The following is a 16,341-nucleotide window of genomic DNA, read 5'->3' as shown; positions in this document are numbered from 1 at the left end:
TGCTCTGCGGGGAGGGTGCTCTGCGGGGAGGGTGGAGACATGAGGCAGCTTGGTGCTCTCAGTTTTCCTGAGCAGATGAGAGTAAAGGAGGGAGGGCTAGGGGAGAGGCTGATGAGAGGGCAGGCCAGTCATGCCCCTTCTCTCTCCTGGAGCCATGGGAGCCGCTGCTGGAGTTCAGCAGGAGGGGACAGGTGAAGTTGGTGGAGAACCATCACTTTCTTCTCCTTTACTCCTGAGAGGCGCCATGAATGAGCCAATTCAGGGCAGAAAGGGGCCCCCTGCTGCAGGGCCATGGCACAGAGCCCCCCCAGGCTGGAGCAAGGCCACGTCCTCAATGTCCCTTTTCCAGGCCATCATCCCAGAGGCTCGCGAATCTGCAGATGACTGTCTGCGCTGCCATGGACTGAACATTTACGATACACCTACGCTATGGACCGTGCTCCATGTTGTCAGGATGCAGAAGTGACAACTGAGATTTCAGGACCGGGTCAAGCCTCAAAGAGTAGAACTCTGCCCTCCCCAAGGTCGCTGGGGAAAGTCATGACAGCAGGAACCCCACAGAGTCCCAGCATGATGTGTGCATTCTTAATTCATGTCACCTGAGCCTGGAAGCTCCTGTGTGCCTCAGTTTCCTCATCTGGAAAATGGGAATAATGATCTACAGGGTTGCTATGAGGAGCAAGTTATATATAAAAAATATATTTTTACATATTTTTTATATATATAAAAATATTTTTATATATTTTTTATATATATAAAAAATATTTTTATATATAAAAAATACATATATATGCCCAGAAGAGTGCCTGGCACACCACAAGGGCCACGCGGGGTTTGCTGTTAATTTGAGGACTGTGATAGCCTTGGCCACAGATGGAATGTTCCTAGCAGAGTCCGCCTGGAAGCACCTGACATCCTCCCGGTGCTGGCCAGGTAATGGCGGGCACTGAGATCCTTTCGCAGATTTAAAGACGGTTAGGAGAGGCCGCCAAAAGATTCATATCATCGTCATTCCTTTTTTTTTTTTTTTGCTAATTTTGCACAACATGCCTCTACTGCTGTTTGGCTAAAACATTTCATTTTTAAAAAAGAATAATTTATGAATGTGCCCGGTGATATTAAAGGCTTTTCAGAAGGTGCAGACCAGCAGCCTAAGAGGGTCACAAATCATTCCTGCGGGAGGCTCTGGAGACTAAGAGGCTGTTCCCAGCCCCTTTTAACCCCTTGGTGACTCTGGAAGTCAGCAGGTGTGTGGGATCCTGCGGCCAGTTATGGGCAACTGCTGGGGGCTGGGTTGGGGTGACCCCAGTGGGTGCATCTGTTCTGTGTGTGTATAAGAAGCAAGGACAAACAGGGTGACAGAGGGTAGCCTTGCACGAATAAACCCCTGGAGGCTCTTCTGTCTAGGAATTGTTTGGTGGAATTGAAAGTCAAGCGAAGAAACTCCCAATGCCACAACTCCTGGTGTTTCCCTTTTCACGACACCCCTCCCCCCAGCACAAGCATTTATCTGCTCTGGTTCACGACAGACTTTCCAGAAGGAGTTCCCCAGGCATGGCCACTCCAGCACTCTGCCATTCCCTCTGCCTGGAGCCCTCTTCCTCCAGATCTCTGTGTGGGTCACTTCCTCAGCTCCTGAGTCTTTGACAAATGTCACTGACCACCAGATTTAAAGCTGTACCGCCATGCTGCACCCCGCCTCCCACTCCCCTCCCCTGCTCTGCACAGCCCTCACTACCATCTGACCGTGTATATATTATGCTTGTTTCTCGTGTACTCCTACCCTCTGGGATAAAAAGTGTATGAGAGAGGCGTTCATGTCTGCCTTAGTCACTGCTGCATTCCTCAGAGCAGGACCTGCCCCCAGGGATACACACATTACTCGTTGGGAGAATGAGTATGAGGAGAGTTGCAAAAGGGGCTCATCTGGGGCCACTGGAGCACAAAAGAAGGAGCTGCACACTCTGCATGTGGAGCGTGTGGACGGCATCCAAGAGGAGGTGACAGCTGACATCGGCTTGGAGGGATGAATAGGAGTTCACCAAAAGGAGAAGGAAGTGAATGTCACGGCTACAGTCCAGGAGAGGAGAGAGGCCATGGAATATTTGGGGTCTGAGGCATGGGCTGGAGTGGCTGAAGCAGAGCGGAGGGAAGAGGAAGGAGTAAGATGCAAGCGGCTCTGCAGAGCCGGAAGGCCAGTTGGTAGATCTGGGTGCTTCTCTCCAGCCTGGAGCCCACGCATCCCTGAGCGCTGGGCCCCCAGGGGTAAGCCCCACTCTAAGAGATACAGCAGTGACCACAACTGGCAGACAAGCACAGATTCCCTACCTCGTACACATTTTATTCTGGAGGGTAGGAGCAGGCGAGGGAGATAGGAAGCTCTGGGCTGAGGATGTCTCTCTGGCCGGGCAGCGGGGATGGATGTGAAAAGTGGGGCTCTGGGCTGAGGACGTGTCTCTGGCCGGGCAGCGGGGATGGATGTGAAAAGTGGGGCTCTGGGCTGAGGACGTGTCTCTGGCCGGGCAGCGGGGATGGATGTGAAAAGTGGGGCTCTGGGCTGAGGACGTCTCTCTGGCCGGGCAGCGGGGATGGATGTGAAAAGTGGGGCTTAGAACACAGACACTGCAGTCACAGCAACGCCGGCTGTGGGTGTGGGGAGTGGGTTCGTGCCTTCCAGCGTCAGGAACCAGTGGCCAGGCACATTTTGCCATGATGCGCACGTACATGACGAGGGGAGAGGCTCCGTGACGTGCTCGTGAACCTCACATCCCATTGACAACATCTGGGAGGTGGGGTACCCGCAGGTCTGAGAAGCAGCCCACATGCCTCGCAGGAGTCCCCCAGAAGCTCACGAGAACGGCAGCATGTCAAGGTCCCAGAATAGGGACCTCTGGCCCTGTACTGTCCGTAGACCCTGTCCACATGGCCTGGCCCAGCCCTTTCTGCTGGCTCCCGGTGCTGTGGATGGCCTGATGTCACCCACCGACAGGCATCACTAGGACCCCACCCTGCCTGGGCCCTCGGGCTGACTCCAGGGTGAATGGATGTGACCCTTTCCTACGTGGCCCCATTCCGGGCCCTCCTCTACTCCTTCCGAAACACCTGCTTACCCCCCACCACCTTTCACCTGCTCAGTGTGCGTCCCTGTCTTCCCACCCCTGTGATTTGCAGTCCCTGATGGCTCAGGCATGTGTCCGTGGGGACCAAGCAGGCACGGGAGATGGAAATTTTCAGATGCCCGCCAGGTGCTAAGTCTTCCAGCCCAAACCTTGACGAGCACCACTGCCTTTGTGCAAGGCAGACGTCTCAAGTTTGGCTTCCTTCCACCCTCCCGCTGGGACCATGACGGTCCCGTCCACGGTGACACCGCAGATGTGGAGCTGTGTAATCTCCCAACCTCTCTGGCTGCATTGTCTCACCTGCGCTACACCAAAAAGGCCTGTAGAGAGGGGTGTAGCCGACCCCTGGGGGTTCAGCAGGGCAAGACAGTCCCCTCTCCCCACCATGCTGTCTCCTCCTGCAGAGGCGGCCACGGCAGGGGGTGCTGAGCGGGCTGTACCCCGCCGACCCTTCCTAGCCAGGTCCTGGGCTGGAAAACCAATCTCGGGTGTGCAGTGCGGCACTCACATGGACAGGGCGTCTCCTGGGGCTGAGGCCTTGAGCTCCGAATGAATGCTGTCCACGTTACTGCAGGTCCAGCCCAGGCTGTCCAGGGGCCACCCACTGAGCAGGGAGGTTTCCGGGACTGGTCCCTGGGGCCCCCTGTGTGTCTCACTGAAGTAGGCTCAAAAGCAGAGACTGTACCCCATTAATGCTACCAAGCCTTCTGAGGGGTCTGGCCTGAGCCCAGGAGCTGCTGCAGGGAGGGTCACCAGCTTTGTGACGGGGGTGACTTCTGAGAGTTTTGGTATCTGGGGAATTGGGGGCTGATAACCTCAAGGAGGGATAACAGCAGCTGTTTCGGGGGGCTACGCGCCGTCACACAGGGCACAGGCTCTGATGCCTCAGAGCCCATCTCTGCCCCATGGGGTCACGACATAGGGAGCAGAAAAGGTGTGTGTTCTCCTTCCATCTCCCAGTCTCTGAGACACCCTCGTCCCCATGCCCTCCACCTCCTGGAACCCTCGGTGACACCCCCAGCTCAAGATGGAGTCAGGCCGCAGCTGATCCCAGCCCAGAGGAGGCCGGGCCCAGCACCCTGGGAAAGAACTTGGCTGCCAGCCAGGGTGTGGCCCCCGGGGTGACAGGGCTGTGTCTCCCAGAAAAGAGAAAGCGCGTCATCCCTGGGATTTGCCGTGAAAGCCAGGACAGGGCAATCACTCATCGTTGGGCAGGGACGGCCGCGCTGTTGTTTTTAGGTGGAATTTCTGAATCTCATTTGTAATGTGTACTGATCCCGGGCCAAACTCTCCACATGGGCTGCAGGACGCGGTCAGCGGCGCACATTTAACCCCTTAAGAGGTAATAATTTTAACGAGGTGATCTGGGCCCTGCTGGCTGGGACAATGGACGGTCTCAAGCCTTGACTGAGGCCTTGCCTGGCCAGGGGGAGAGGTACAGCTAGGTAGATATCTCCATTCACAAGCCCTTGTACCGGGGCTGCTGCATACAGTTGAGCAGGTTGTGTACTGCAAATAGACTCACCGGTGGATGGTGCTGCCTAGATTTTGCAGTGCACAACACATCCAACTGTACATAGCAGCCCTGCCACACGCCACTTCTCTCTCTCTCTCAGACATGAACTGGGATGACACCAACCCCTAAACCACAAGCACTTTCAGCTGTGGGAACTCTGGCAGGATGCTATGGATGCTGGTGGGGAGCTTCTTAAAAGCAGGATGCGTAGCTTGGATGTAGATTTGTTCTGCAGTACCCAGTGCAGGGCCTGGCATAGAAAAGTACCCCAGGATGTTCTTGTTGAATGAATAAGATAATTCAAGGATGATAGGACTTGAGAGGCCTGCTTGCTGACTTGCTTCCGGCCAGGCCGGCCTCACCAGCCCAGGCCGCGAGATCTGCCTATTAAGTAGGTCCTGGGCAGTTGGAGCCACTTTGGGCTGGACGGTCCTGGCCCTGTCCCATCATCCTTGATCTGGCCTGTTGTCCCCTAAGAAGGCTCCGGGCTCCCACCAGCCCTCCATTTCCAAACTTCTTCCTCCCAGCGGCTCATTTATCCTCCAGACTAGACCACTCTTATGTTAAAACAGGCACACACCTCAGTCCCTATTACCCTGCAGGGCAAATATTATTATGGCAATTTTACTGAGAAGAAAGCTGAGGCTCAGACAGGTTATGAAATTTGCCTAAAGTCACACAGCTGGAAACAGAGAACAAAGCCGCAAGCCCAGAGCAGTTTGCCGCGGCCACACAGACCCAATCACACTTTGCCTAAAAGGGGCCACTCACGCCATTGCTATTTTTCAAACGGTAAACTTGAAATTGGGTAATAATCCTTATACACCCACAGATGGAATTTAAAATGCGATTTCAAAACATAAACTGTGGTAGTTCCCTTTAAGTGGGGGTGAGAGTGCTGCAGGAGCGCGTTGACACACTGGCAAAACTCAGAGGCTCCCACGACTCAGCACAGACAATGTGGGAAAGCGGCTGTCAAGTTCACTTTCATGGAAAAGCCTGGGTGTTGTGCCGGCTTCTCATCCTATGTTGCCTCGGCACGCATTCTGAATGTGCGTTTAACTCCCACACCAGAGCAGGGCTCAGTCACCCTTGCTGCGGGTTCCAGTTCTCCACCTCCTCCCAGTTCCTTAAGGCGGTTGACCCAGAGGACTGCCTTATACCACCACCTCCTGGGGGCCCCTGCCTTATGGGACAGCTGGATACAACCCAAAGACCCTCACACCTACATCGATAGTGCAGGCCTATGCAGAAGTGACCCCCATCCGCCACCGCATGACCTCAGGGAACTCCTGCCTGCTCCAAGCCCCCCAGTTAGAATTCCTCACGGGAAACCTGCCTGGATAACACCCTGGACCCCAGTAAAGGCTTTGGTCCCACAGGTCTCTCTCTGTCTCTCTCTCTCATTCTCTCTCTCTCTCATGCTGCAGGCGCTTCCCCTTCCCATTGGCCCTGCAAGGGGTGCTCCCCACCTCTCTAGGACCTGTGAGTAACTAGCTGCTTCTGTTACTTCCTGTGTTGATTGTGCTGTCTTCTCTGCGTCTCACCTGACTGGCACACCAAAACCCAGCTTCCTTCCTGATCAGGCCTAGAAGGTATAGCCACTCTCAAGAGAGACGGCAAGGCGAAATTAGGAAGAACTGATATTTACAGAACATTTAGGTTTCCATCAGTATTTACATCCTGTGCACCCACTGTGTGCCAGGCACTGCTGGGAGCTTTCACATACATCGTTTCATCTGATTCCATTAATGAGATGCAGAGTCTCCAATTAGGGCGTTTCCTTCCTAAATGTAATATAGGTGACCATGTCTAAGGTGAGCAGCTGTCTAAGGTAAGCATCCACCCTTCGATCATGTGGACTTCATCGCTGCCATGCTGCTTGGCCAGACTTGCCCCGGCCAGGAGCTGAGGACCCAAACCCTTCAGCTTCTCTAAGGAATCCTGCAGCAGCTGAGCCCTTAGAGCTGCCTGGGGGGCTGAGGGGCTTGGGGGACAACAGAGAGCTGACTAAAGGACCTGCTTGGGCAGTGCAGCTCCAACTTGCTGGCTGTGGGACCCTGGGCCAGCACTTCCTTTTTTTTCTTACATAAATGGTGATACCAGCCCCAGGGTGGCTGTCCCACAAGGCTGCTCGAGGATCTAACAGCATATGGTGCTTGCGAAGGGGATCTGGGCACAGGGTGGGTGGACGTACAGGGAGGCACCAGGTGATTCCAACGCAAAACTGCCAGCGAAGTCTCCAAATACTGTCCCTAGGCCCAGGGCAGCCTTGGGCTGGGGACACAAGGTCTGGTCTTGATACTACAGGACTGTCCCTTCTCCAAGCCAGAGAGTATAAAACATCTCAGAGATCAAACCCTGTGCATACGCACTCACCACTCACACGCACCCACACACACGCACACACTCCACACCCAGCCACACGTGCACTAAATCATATCAGAGGGCTTGCCCAGAAACAACTGTGCAGAGTGGAGTGGGTCTGAATGTCTTCTAAGATGCGTAGGTTGTCATTAAAGCCCATTCCCAGCCGTGAAGCTCCTGCCCCAGCCTAGAAAGATCCTCCCTAAATTGCAGCCAGCCCCAGCATCTATCTGCACCAGGTGCGGCTGTGGCTGTCACTGGGGAATCATTGAGGCTGGGAGGGGTCCTGGAAAGGAGGCAGGTCTGGGGGTCCCAGGGAGCAGCATGATGGGTCGCCTGTGTGACCAAGGATGAGTGGGCCCTCGGCAGGTAAAGAGCCGGAGAGAGACCCTCCAGGACCTCGCCATTCCGCAGCATGGTGACATCTGAACTTCATCTTTTGACTGCCTGGACATACAGGGAGGTCTTTCCTCATCAGGGGCTGGCCCAGGACCCAAGATCCCATGGCCGGGAGCACTGTGACTGTGTGAAAGGAGGTGCTTCACTATTTATCCTCTACGGCTGGGACTCAGACTCAACCACGGCTGACAGATGCCAGCCAGTGTAGATACCAGCTAGTATAGACCAGAAAAAATAATCAGGGCTTAACATAGGCCATGGGGATGGGGAGTCCCGGATCTGGGCAGTTCAGGTCTAAGCCCTATCCTCGAACACTTCCTGGCTGGGAGATCCTGGGGACTTGGCTCTTCCGGCCTCAGTCTTCTTACCTGCTGAGTGGGTACAACCTCAACCGCAACCTCAAGCTGCAGGAGGCCCAGTGGGTTAAATAAAGCAGCGGGATCTGGAAGCTCCATGGGCAGCACAGACCTCCCGTGGCTCCCGTGGTCCCCAGGACAGCATCCACCAAGGCCTGGCCCTGCAGCCCCTTTCGGCCTCCCCTCGACCCTCCCTGCACCCTGGATGCTCCAGCAGCCCCAAACCGCAGGCTGTGCCCTCCCTTCCTGGCTCCCTGCCTCTCATCGCGCTGTTCATGGGCCAGCCACAGACGTGGCTGTGAGTTTGGGTGTCCCACTTGTCTGGCTCACCCCTCAGCCTCAAGACCCAGAATGTGTGTGACCTCTTCCAGGAAGCCTCCCCTGACTGCCCCATGGTCATGCCCGTGCGACAGGAGGGGCTGGCCTGCAAAAAACTACAAAGACAACTCCGTAGCTCCCTGCAACCCGGGAGGCCCAAGGGTCAGGAGGTCCACATGCAAAATTCGTCCGTAGGCCAAAGAATTACTTCACCTGCAGGCTCTGTAGCTCCTGTTGGCATTGGCAGGGTTTTAACAGAAATGTGGCCACAACCAAGCCTCATAGCACACAGATTTCCCTCCCTGGAGAAATAGGGAGGGCGTTTTTGCAGGCCAGGCCCTCCTATCACACAGCCATGACCCTGGAGCAGTCAGGGGAGGCTTCTTGGAAGTGGTCACACACATGCTGGGTCTTGAGGCTGAGTGGAGGGAGCCAGACAGACACAGATGTGGCTGGCCTGAGAGTTAAAAGGAAGTGGTGATCTGGAGGCTGGAGGGGAAGTCTGAGGCTCAGACAGCAGCCATAGCCCAGGGGCCCGGGGAGCCCGGGTGGCCTCGAGTTGCCTTTCTGTCTCTCTCTTCCGCACGCTGATGATACACAGCCCGCCCCTGCTGCAGCCAGGGCTCCCCCATTAGTCATCACTCAGGATATACTACCTGAAAGATCTCTTCCCAGAGCACCCCGGATTACAGGCTGCAGAGCTGAGAATGAATCCAGAGCCAGATAAGGAAAGCTTTGTAGTGGCCTGAGAATCCCTCGGGCATTAATGGAGCATTTTTGCACAGGGCGAAAACGCATTCTTCATTTTTCTTTGACAGCCGGTTAAAGAGGAATGCAAGGGGGCTTTACAAAGACGACGGCGCGGGCCCTGCTGCGGGCTCCTCGATCCCCGCTAAGAACGGGTCTTTCAAGGCTACATTAGAGGACGACCCGGCCCTTGCAGGTTCTTAGTGGACTCGGGGCATTTCTCCCTCTTCTTCTGTTACTCTGGGAGGACTGAACACGGCGAGCCCCGGGGCCTGTGCGCTGATTGTTTTTCTGGGACATCCAAACTCACAGCAACTTAGCCCACCACAGCAGCAGTCAACCCTGGGCTCCGGCTCTGGGCGGGTGTGGTGTCTGGGGAAGACCGGGCTCCAGGCCCGCTCTGGCCCCAGCTCTGAGTGGCCTCGGGCAAATCTCTTGCCCTCTCTGGCTCTCGCTCTCTCCTTTGTTAGAGGAGATAATCCCACCGTGTCACAGGGTCCTGGCGATGATGAAACCCTGGCTCCTGGTCATCACAGGTGCTCACTAAGTGTCACTCCCTCACATGCAAGGACACTCAGCTCGGGCCTCACCTCCTCCAGGAAGCCCTCCTGATCCGGTGCCCAGTGTCCACACAGGGCATGGCCTAGAGCAGACAGGTGTTCAGCAAGCACCGTGAGTAGGCGGCGTTCCCTGCCGTGTGCTGCAGGCAGCACAGAGCTGCACGGGGCTGCCCAGGAGGCTCAAGAGCCTCCCACGCTCCCCACCAGGAGCAGCAGCCCTGGAAGCCGCTTTCTTCCTCTCCACCACCATGAAGGGTTTCTGCCTAAGTCACTGCTTGAAATCAGAACTGCACTGCTAAAAACAAGTCGGAAAACATCCCAGGCCCTGCAGTTTTTCAGTTGCACAGTCTCAGGCGGTCATTTAACTCAGCTCCCTCCTTTGCCCAAGGGAGACAATCATGACCCGTCGCTGGCAGTGTCTGTGAGGACTGGGGAATGCGGGGGTGAAGGTGCCCAGCAACGGTAAGGAGCCGGCAAGGGTTCAACCCCACGTTTTCAGGGCTGCTTCAGGCTGGGCTCGAGTCCAACGGTGGAACCATCTATTACCAGGTGGACAGGCCAGGAGCCGTGTGCCGGGATGGCTGCCCCTAGGGACCAGGAAGCTCCCAGGATGTATGGAAGTTATTCTGGGCAGAAGAGGAGGGAGAAGGAAGTAGGGATATGGAAGCCCAAGGAGGAGATCTCAGACAGAGAAATAAGATCAGCGCAGTGGGGACAGAGACAGGAGCCAGCCAGCAATGCAGCCTAGGTCCCAACACGCAGGGCTTGCCTCCCTGGTCTCAGTCTTCCACCTGAGATGACATGGGCACCAGGTCAACTCCAGGAGCCCAGCCAGGTGGGGCATCCTGCACACAGACCGAGGCGTGGAAGAGGCAGGGGCCTCCCCAGCACACAGGGCTACAGGCACGACAATTCCAAGGGCCAGGCTGGGGCCCTCCCCCACGCAGCCCCAGCCCAGAATTCCAAAGACCAGGGCACCCGTGACCAACTGTGCCGGGGGAAGCCGCTGGGTCCTTGTGGCCTCATCCACATTCCGTTCCCAGAAGCCCGCTGCCGGGACGGCACCTGTGATCATCTCTCATACCCTGGGACTCCTTTCCATTGCCCACTGTGTCCCTGATTCACTGTAAGAAGACTGGCAAGCCCCCTCGCCCTTCCGGGCCTCAGTTTCCCCTCCTACGGAAGAAGGAAGGGATGGTCTCTAGGAGCCTCCAGGCTCTGACATGCCAGGATTTTCTGCCCCAGTGGATGGGAAGCTGAGAAACAGACACTCCCAGGTTGGTTCTGTCTGGAGCAGATGCAGCCAGAGAAAGGCGCTGGTGGGTGCTGGTTCTAGGCCCAGCAGCTGCCCAACCTCTTGGCTTGGGTCACCCCAGGAAGGATGTAGGTGGGAACTAAAGACGTAAAACCTGCCAGGAGACTTCCCCTAAGAGAGCCTCCACAGGCCATCAAGGCCTGTCTCTGTGCATGCCTATTTCGGCATCATATTTTGATGATCTGATACGGGGTGGCTTCTCCCTGCTGCTGAGATGCAAAGTCCTCAGGGGCTATGTGGCATTTATCCATCTCTGTATCTGCAAGGCTTAGCCCAGGGTCAGGCACAGGTAGAGGCTCAAGAAGGGTTCAGAAACGGAAAGAATGAGTGAGTGAACTAGAAGGTCCTAGGATTCCAAACTCCCATGTTCCAAGATCTAGAAATCACCTGAGGGCCATGTCCCAGCCACAACTGCAGGCCCAGCATCAAGCACAGGGCTGGCCCCTTTGGGGCGGGGGGCGGCTGTGGGCCAGTGTCAGGGTGCATACCCCACCCACCCAGTGGGACAGGACAAAGCCCTGACCCAACCCCCTCCCTGCCTGCCCTCCTGCACAGGGGCCTGAAGGACCCTCAAGGCTGTCTTCATCTAAACTCTCATTTCACAATGGGGGAAACTGAGGCCCAGAGTGGGGAGTGACTCAAGGGCAAGCAGCAAGTTTCACAACTGCCGACAACCAAACCATGCGCCTTCCCCTTGGAATCACGCGAGGGCTAATGCACCATTAATTGTAATTAACTAATTATTCCTGCTGCCAGCTAGCGCAGGAGGAGGCTGGGGTGGGGAGCCCCCCAGTGACTCAGTCATGTTTACAACATGCAAACCCATTTAAAAGCTTGTAAAGGTGCTATAAATGGCTCTTTGGCAAGACGGGAATAACGATTCCCTTTCTCCAGCTGCCAGTTTTAACAACCGTCGGGTTTGAGGCGCAAAGACTGAGCGTCCAAGGTCCAACAGCGCCACCTGGAGGCCAGGCTCCAAAACGCTCTGCTCTGTGCGCACTGCACGCTCGTGGGTTCTGGTTAGGACCTCCCGGACTCCAGCGCCTAAGGGACTAGGAAGCCCACTCCTCCCAGTTCACAATGGGGAAACTGAGGCCCAGGGGAGGTCAGGGACTGTCCGTCCGTTGCTCAGCTGCTTTGAAAGTGTTCAGAGTATAAATCCGAGTCCAAAATGGCAGATGCCACCGTTTTCATTTCCCATGACTGTAAATCTTTTAAAATGTGACAGTTCAGGAGAGGGGCTGTGAATGACAGAAACAAGCGTGCGGAATGGAGTGGGCCTGGATATTTTTTCACACGAGTAGGTTGTCATTAAAGCCCGTTCCTAGCCAGGGAGGGCCCTGCCCCCGCCTGTAAACATCTTCCCCAGCCTGCACCCACCAACAGGACTTCCACAGTCCCCTCATGCCCCAGCCTCCCTTCACGCTCCCCAAACACCGGATCTCCAGGGAGAAAGAGCAGTGAGCTCCCCATTCAGATGGGCTGTGCACACAGAGTGGCCTTGGTCCTCTTACCAACTGATGCGTAGGGAGGGGACGACTACTGCTCAAGGCCACATGGCGAATCCAGCTAGTTCCAAGGCTGAGAGACCAGAGCTCAGGCCCTCTGATTCCTACTTTGCTATCCCTCCCATTGCACCCCAAGAATAACAATCCCCTTAGCTCCCACCGACCGCGGGACTGTGCCAGCCCTCAGGACAAGCACTTTACTTGGGTGGTATCATTTGAAATTCATGGTTGTGAGGCGCAGCGCTCTCTGGAACCCACCCATGTTATAGGCAGGGAGACCGAGACCCAGAGGGGTCACCCAGAGAGTGGGTGGCACAGCTAGGGTCAGATCCCAGGCAGGATCCCCCACTCTGGCTGTTCCTCCGGCCGAGACCGATTGGGAGCTGTGGTGGCCTCGGCGCTGGGCCCTGAAGGTTGGGTGGGCTTGAATTTGGGGAGGGGACTCAGATGGGAGTTGGGCTGGGCCAGAGAGGGTTTCGGGGTGGAGGGGGAGGGGTGCCTGGATAGAGCTGATATTCCCAGCCACTCACCCACGGTCATGCCGTCCATGTAACGCTTGATGATGTCAAAAGAGTCCCGCAGGTTCCCTTCCGTGATGTCGAAGATGATGTTAGCCTGGCTGGCAGGATGCGGTGGCGTGATGGCCCGGAGGAAGATGATCTCTGCAGAGGCACAGAATGGAGAAGGGCTCAGCACAGCCTGGCCCCAGCCCCAGTCCCAGCCTCGTCCCCAGGAACTCACCCTTGGGGAATGAAGACCTAACCCAGGGCCCTTTCATGAGACAACATCAATGAAGCCAGAGATCCCCTGTGTGGGGAGGGTGGAGGGGTCTGGACCTTCCTATATCATAGCCCATCCCTGTTTTATAGCAGGGGAAACTGAAGTCAGGAGAGATTTTGGATCTTCCTCGGGGACACAGAGCTAATCAGAGGAAGGGCTGGTGAGAAGTCATCAGTCACTGTGCATATTCATGAAGGTGGGGACCAGAGGAGGAAAGCGAGTGAGGGGACAGAGGGAGACAGCAGAAAGGCCAGAGGGGTGGGCTCCTCTCCCATCTATAGTGCCACAGGTCAGGGGGGCCACCCTGAGCGGTGGCCTGGGTTCTCTGGGGGGTGTGTGTCCATCTCCCAGATCAGACAGTGAAGCAGGGCAGCCCCAGCTCTGGGCTGTCTTGGGGGAGTCCTCTCTGTGGGCCTCAGTTTCCTCACCTGTAAGGTGAGGAAGGAAGCCGGCGGAGACCCACTAAAGGTCCTTTCAGCACTTAAGGTCAGGGTGTGGATTTCCTGGGCCCAAGATGCTAACAGGTGTCCCAACGGCACTCGGCTCCCTGCGATAACCAACACTCAGATCGGGGCTGGCCGGAGAGGCCACAAAACCAGCCACTGGGGATTTGGGAAGGATTTGTATGTGGTTTGGTGAAACCCCATCATTTTGCAAAAGGCAAATACCAGTTAGTTATTTTCTCTGACCCAAGTCTGTGCCACCCTGTGACGATTCAGCGTTATTCCTTTTCGGGAGGAGCAAACCTAGGGGGACTGGGACTGGGGACGGCTCCTTGGGCAACCACGTGCTGAGGGAGCCTCTCCTCCCCCCACCCCCCCGCATGGTTGTGTCATGGTGTAAACACTGGTGTCCTCGCGGCTGGCTCCGTTGCATGCCTCCCCTGAGAGGGTGGGAGGACCCCTTCTTATCACCATGTCCCTAGAGCCTGACACAGAGGGGCTCCGTCCACGGCTGCTGAATGAACTCATCATGGCATGCTTCTCCGCAGGCCAGGGATAGGGACTCCCTAGAGGGCGGGGGTGGTTGGGGACCGGGCACACGGGCAGCACAGCCAGGAAGCGAGGTGAACAGGACAATGCTCCATCCATAGCCCTCTGCCAGGCTTGGGAGCACGCAGCCCAGGCCCTGCTCCAGAGAAACGGTGCAGTGATGGCAGGTTACACAACATGACTACACTGCATGCCAGGAGCTTCCTAGAGAGCCAGGCTGGGGTGTGGGAGCACTGACTGGGTTACACCTGAGCTTCCTGCTCCCCGTCTGGCCCCTCCAGTTCACCTGGCCCTGGATCAACAGGATGATGTTTCTATATGCAAACCTCCTCCACTGCAACCTTCCGATGGTTCCCCCAAAGCCTGGGGGTTGAAGGCCCAACTCCAGTTTTAGCCTCCTGTTTATCCTTCCAGCCCACCTCTTGCCAAGCCTCTAGCGCTCCAGCAGAAAACCTTGGCTCAGTTTCTCAAACGCCCACACCGCCCCCCCATACCTCCAGACCCTTCTGGCCATGTCCTGCTCCACTGGGCACCCTCCTCCCCTTCTCCCCCTTTCACTCAAATACCTCACCACTCAGGACCCAGCCTAGCCATCACTTCCTCCCGGAGGCCCTCCCTGATTCTCCAGTGCTGGTCACAGAATCAGCGCTTAATGGCTCTCTGCAGAACAACCGTTACCCATAAGAAAAGACCACCTGAACGGAAAGCTGAGAATGGGCCAAATGCTGCTGTGCCAGGTGGGTGTGGGGGGGACACAGACACAAAGAAAGTTCTGCATGTCAAGTTGCCAGGCGCGGTGGCTCACGCCTGTAATCCCAGCACTTTGGGAGGCTGAGGCGGGTGGATCATGAGGTCAGGAGATTGAGACCATCCTGGCGAACACGGTGAAACCCCGTCTTTACTAAAAATACAAAAAGATTAGCCAGGCGTGGTGGCGGGCGCCTGTAGTCCCAGCTACTCGGAAGGCTGAGGCAGGAGAATGGCGTGAACCCGGGAGGTGGAGCTTGCAGTGAGCCGAGATGGCACCACTGCACTCCAGCCCGGGCGACAGAGCGAGACTCCGTCTCAAAAAAAAAAAAAAAAAAAAAAGAAAGTTCTGCATTTCAAAGCCTGGGCCACATCTTACAAGGAACAACTCCTGTAGGCCAAGCCCTCAGCTGAAGCCGAGGGAGGCCCTAGGGGGCCCTGGGACCCCCACACCCATCCCACTCACCTTCAGGGCGGGTGAACTCGCGGAAGGTAGGCAGCGAGATGACGGTGTGGGAGATGGTGTGCACGGGGTCGAACACGCATGTGACATCGTTGGGGCGGCAGGACTTGATGCAGCGGACCGTGTCTGTCTTCTCCTGCTGGAGCCTGAGGGGAACCACAGCACACGAGGCTGACGGGGAAGCTGGGACAGCAGCTCCCACAGGGGCCGAGGTCTAGGGAGGAGGAGCAGGTGGCCAGGGCAGGGGCATCTGTCCCAGAGACAGCTCCATCAGAGAACGACAGTGGTCTCTGCAGCCTGGCTGCTCTGTGGGGAGGCTTCATGGCCCTTCCTGCAAACTGGACCGGGACCTAAATGCCAGCAACACCCTCCAGCTTCCATGTGCCCTGGCGGATAAGCACAGCTTGGACATTTGTCAACTGCACGAATTGAGCATCAATAGCTACAATGGCAAAATAGAGTCACAGGTTCACTTGCCCAACAAATATGTTTTGAGTGCCAGGCGCCGGCTGCTAGGGACAGCAAAGTGAACAAGGGACACATGGTCCCGCCTTCTCAGAGCCCACAGTGAGGCTGGGCAGCAGGGTAATAAACGAAGGAGCAGATAGAAAGCGCCAAGCTCGGTGCCCAGCACAGGGCAGTCAATTCCACATCACCAGGTGACGGGGAGGCAGAAGAGGCTACAGTCTCTCAGAGGTCTGGGTTCCAGGTACTGTGCTAGACAGATTTTTACAACCTCTTGATCATAAAATAAAACACGGATACAAAATTACACAAAATGAAAGTATAGTTTAACGAGTTATTACAAGGCAAACGCCTTTATAATCACCACCCAGGTCAAGAAAGAGAACTTGGCCAGCCACCAAACGCCCCGCAACTGCCAGACAGAACTCAACCCCTCCTGCAACCCAACAGTGACCCCTAGCCTGAGTCCCACGGCAGTGCTCTACTTGGGTTTTTTTTTTTTTTTTTTTTTGAGACAGAGTCTCGCTCTGTCACCCAGACTGGAGTACAGTGGCACAGTCTCAGCTCACTGCAACCTCCGCCTCCCAGGTTCAAGCGATTCTCCTGCCTCAGCCTCCTGAGTAGCTGGGATTACAGGCGCATGCCACCATGCCCGGCTAATTTTTTTTGTATTTTTTTTTAGTAGAGAC

The 16,341-nt window shown here is 56.1% G+C and overlaps 1 protein-coding gene across 1 annotated transcript in view; it reads right to left on the bottom strand.

Moving 5' to 3' along the window:
- FBLN1 (fibulin 1) overlaps positions 1-16,341 on the bottom strand; it is a 98,253-nt gene that overhangs the window by 11,292 nt on the left and 70,620 nt on the right. The window contains exons 15-16 of the mRNA NM_006486.3: positions 15,191-15,333; positions 12,736-12,867 (exon numbers count right to left, since the gene is read on the bottom strand). Coding sequence (NP_006477.3) covers positions 12,736-12,867; positions 15,191-15,333 — 275 coding nt within the window. The remainder of the gene's footprint in view (positions 1-12,735; positions 12,868-15,190; positions 15,334-16,341) is intronic.

This window comes from Homo sapiens, chromosome 22 (genome assembly GCF_000001405.40).
Source record: "Homo sapiens chromosome 22, GRCh38.p14 Primary Assembly".
Classification (NCBI taxonomy): Eukaryota; Metazoa; Chordata; class Mammalia; order Primates; family Hominidae; genus Homo; species Homo sapiens.
The sequence above is the reverse complement of the archived record's forward strand: the minus strand, read 5'-3'. Positions and strand labels throughout refer to the sequence as shown.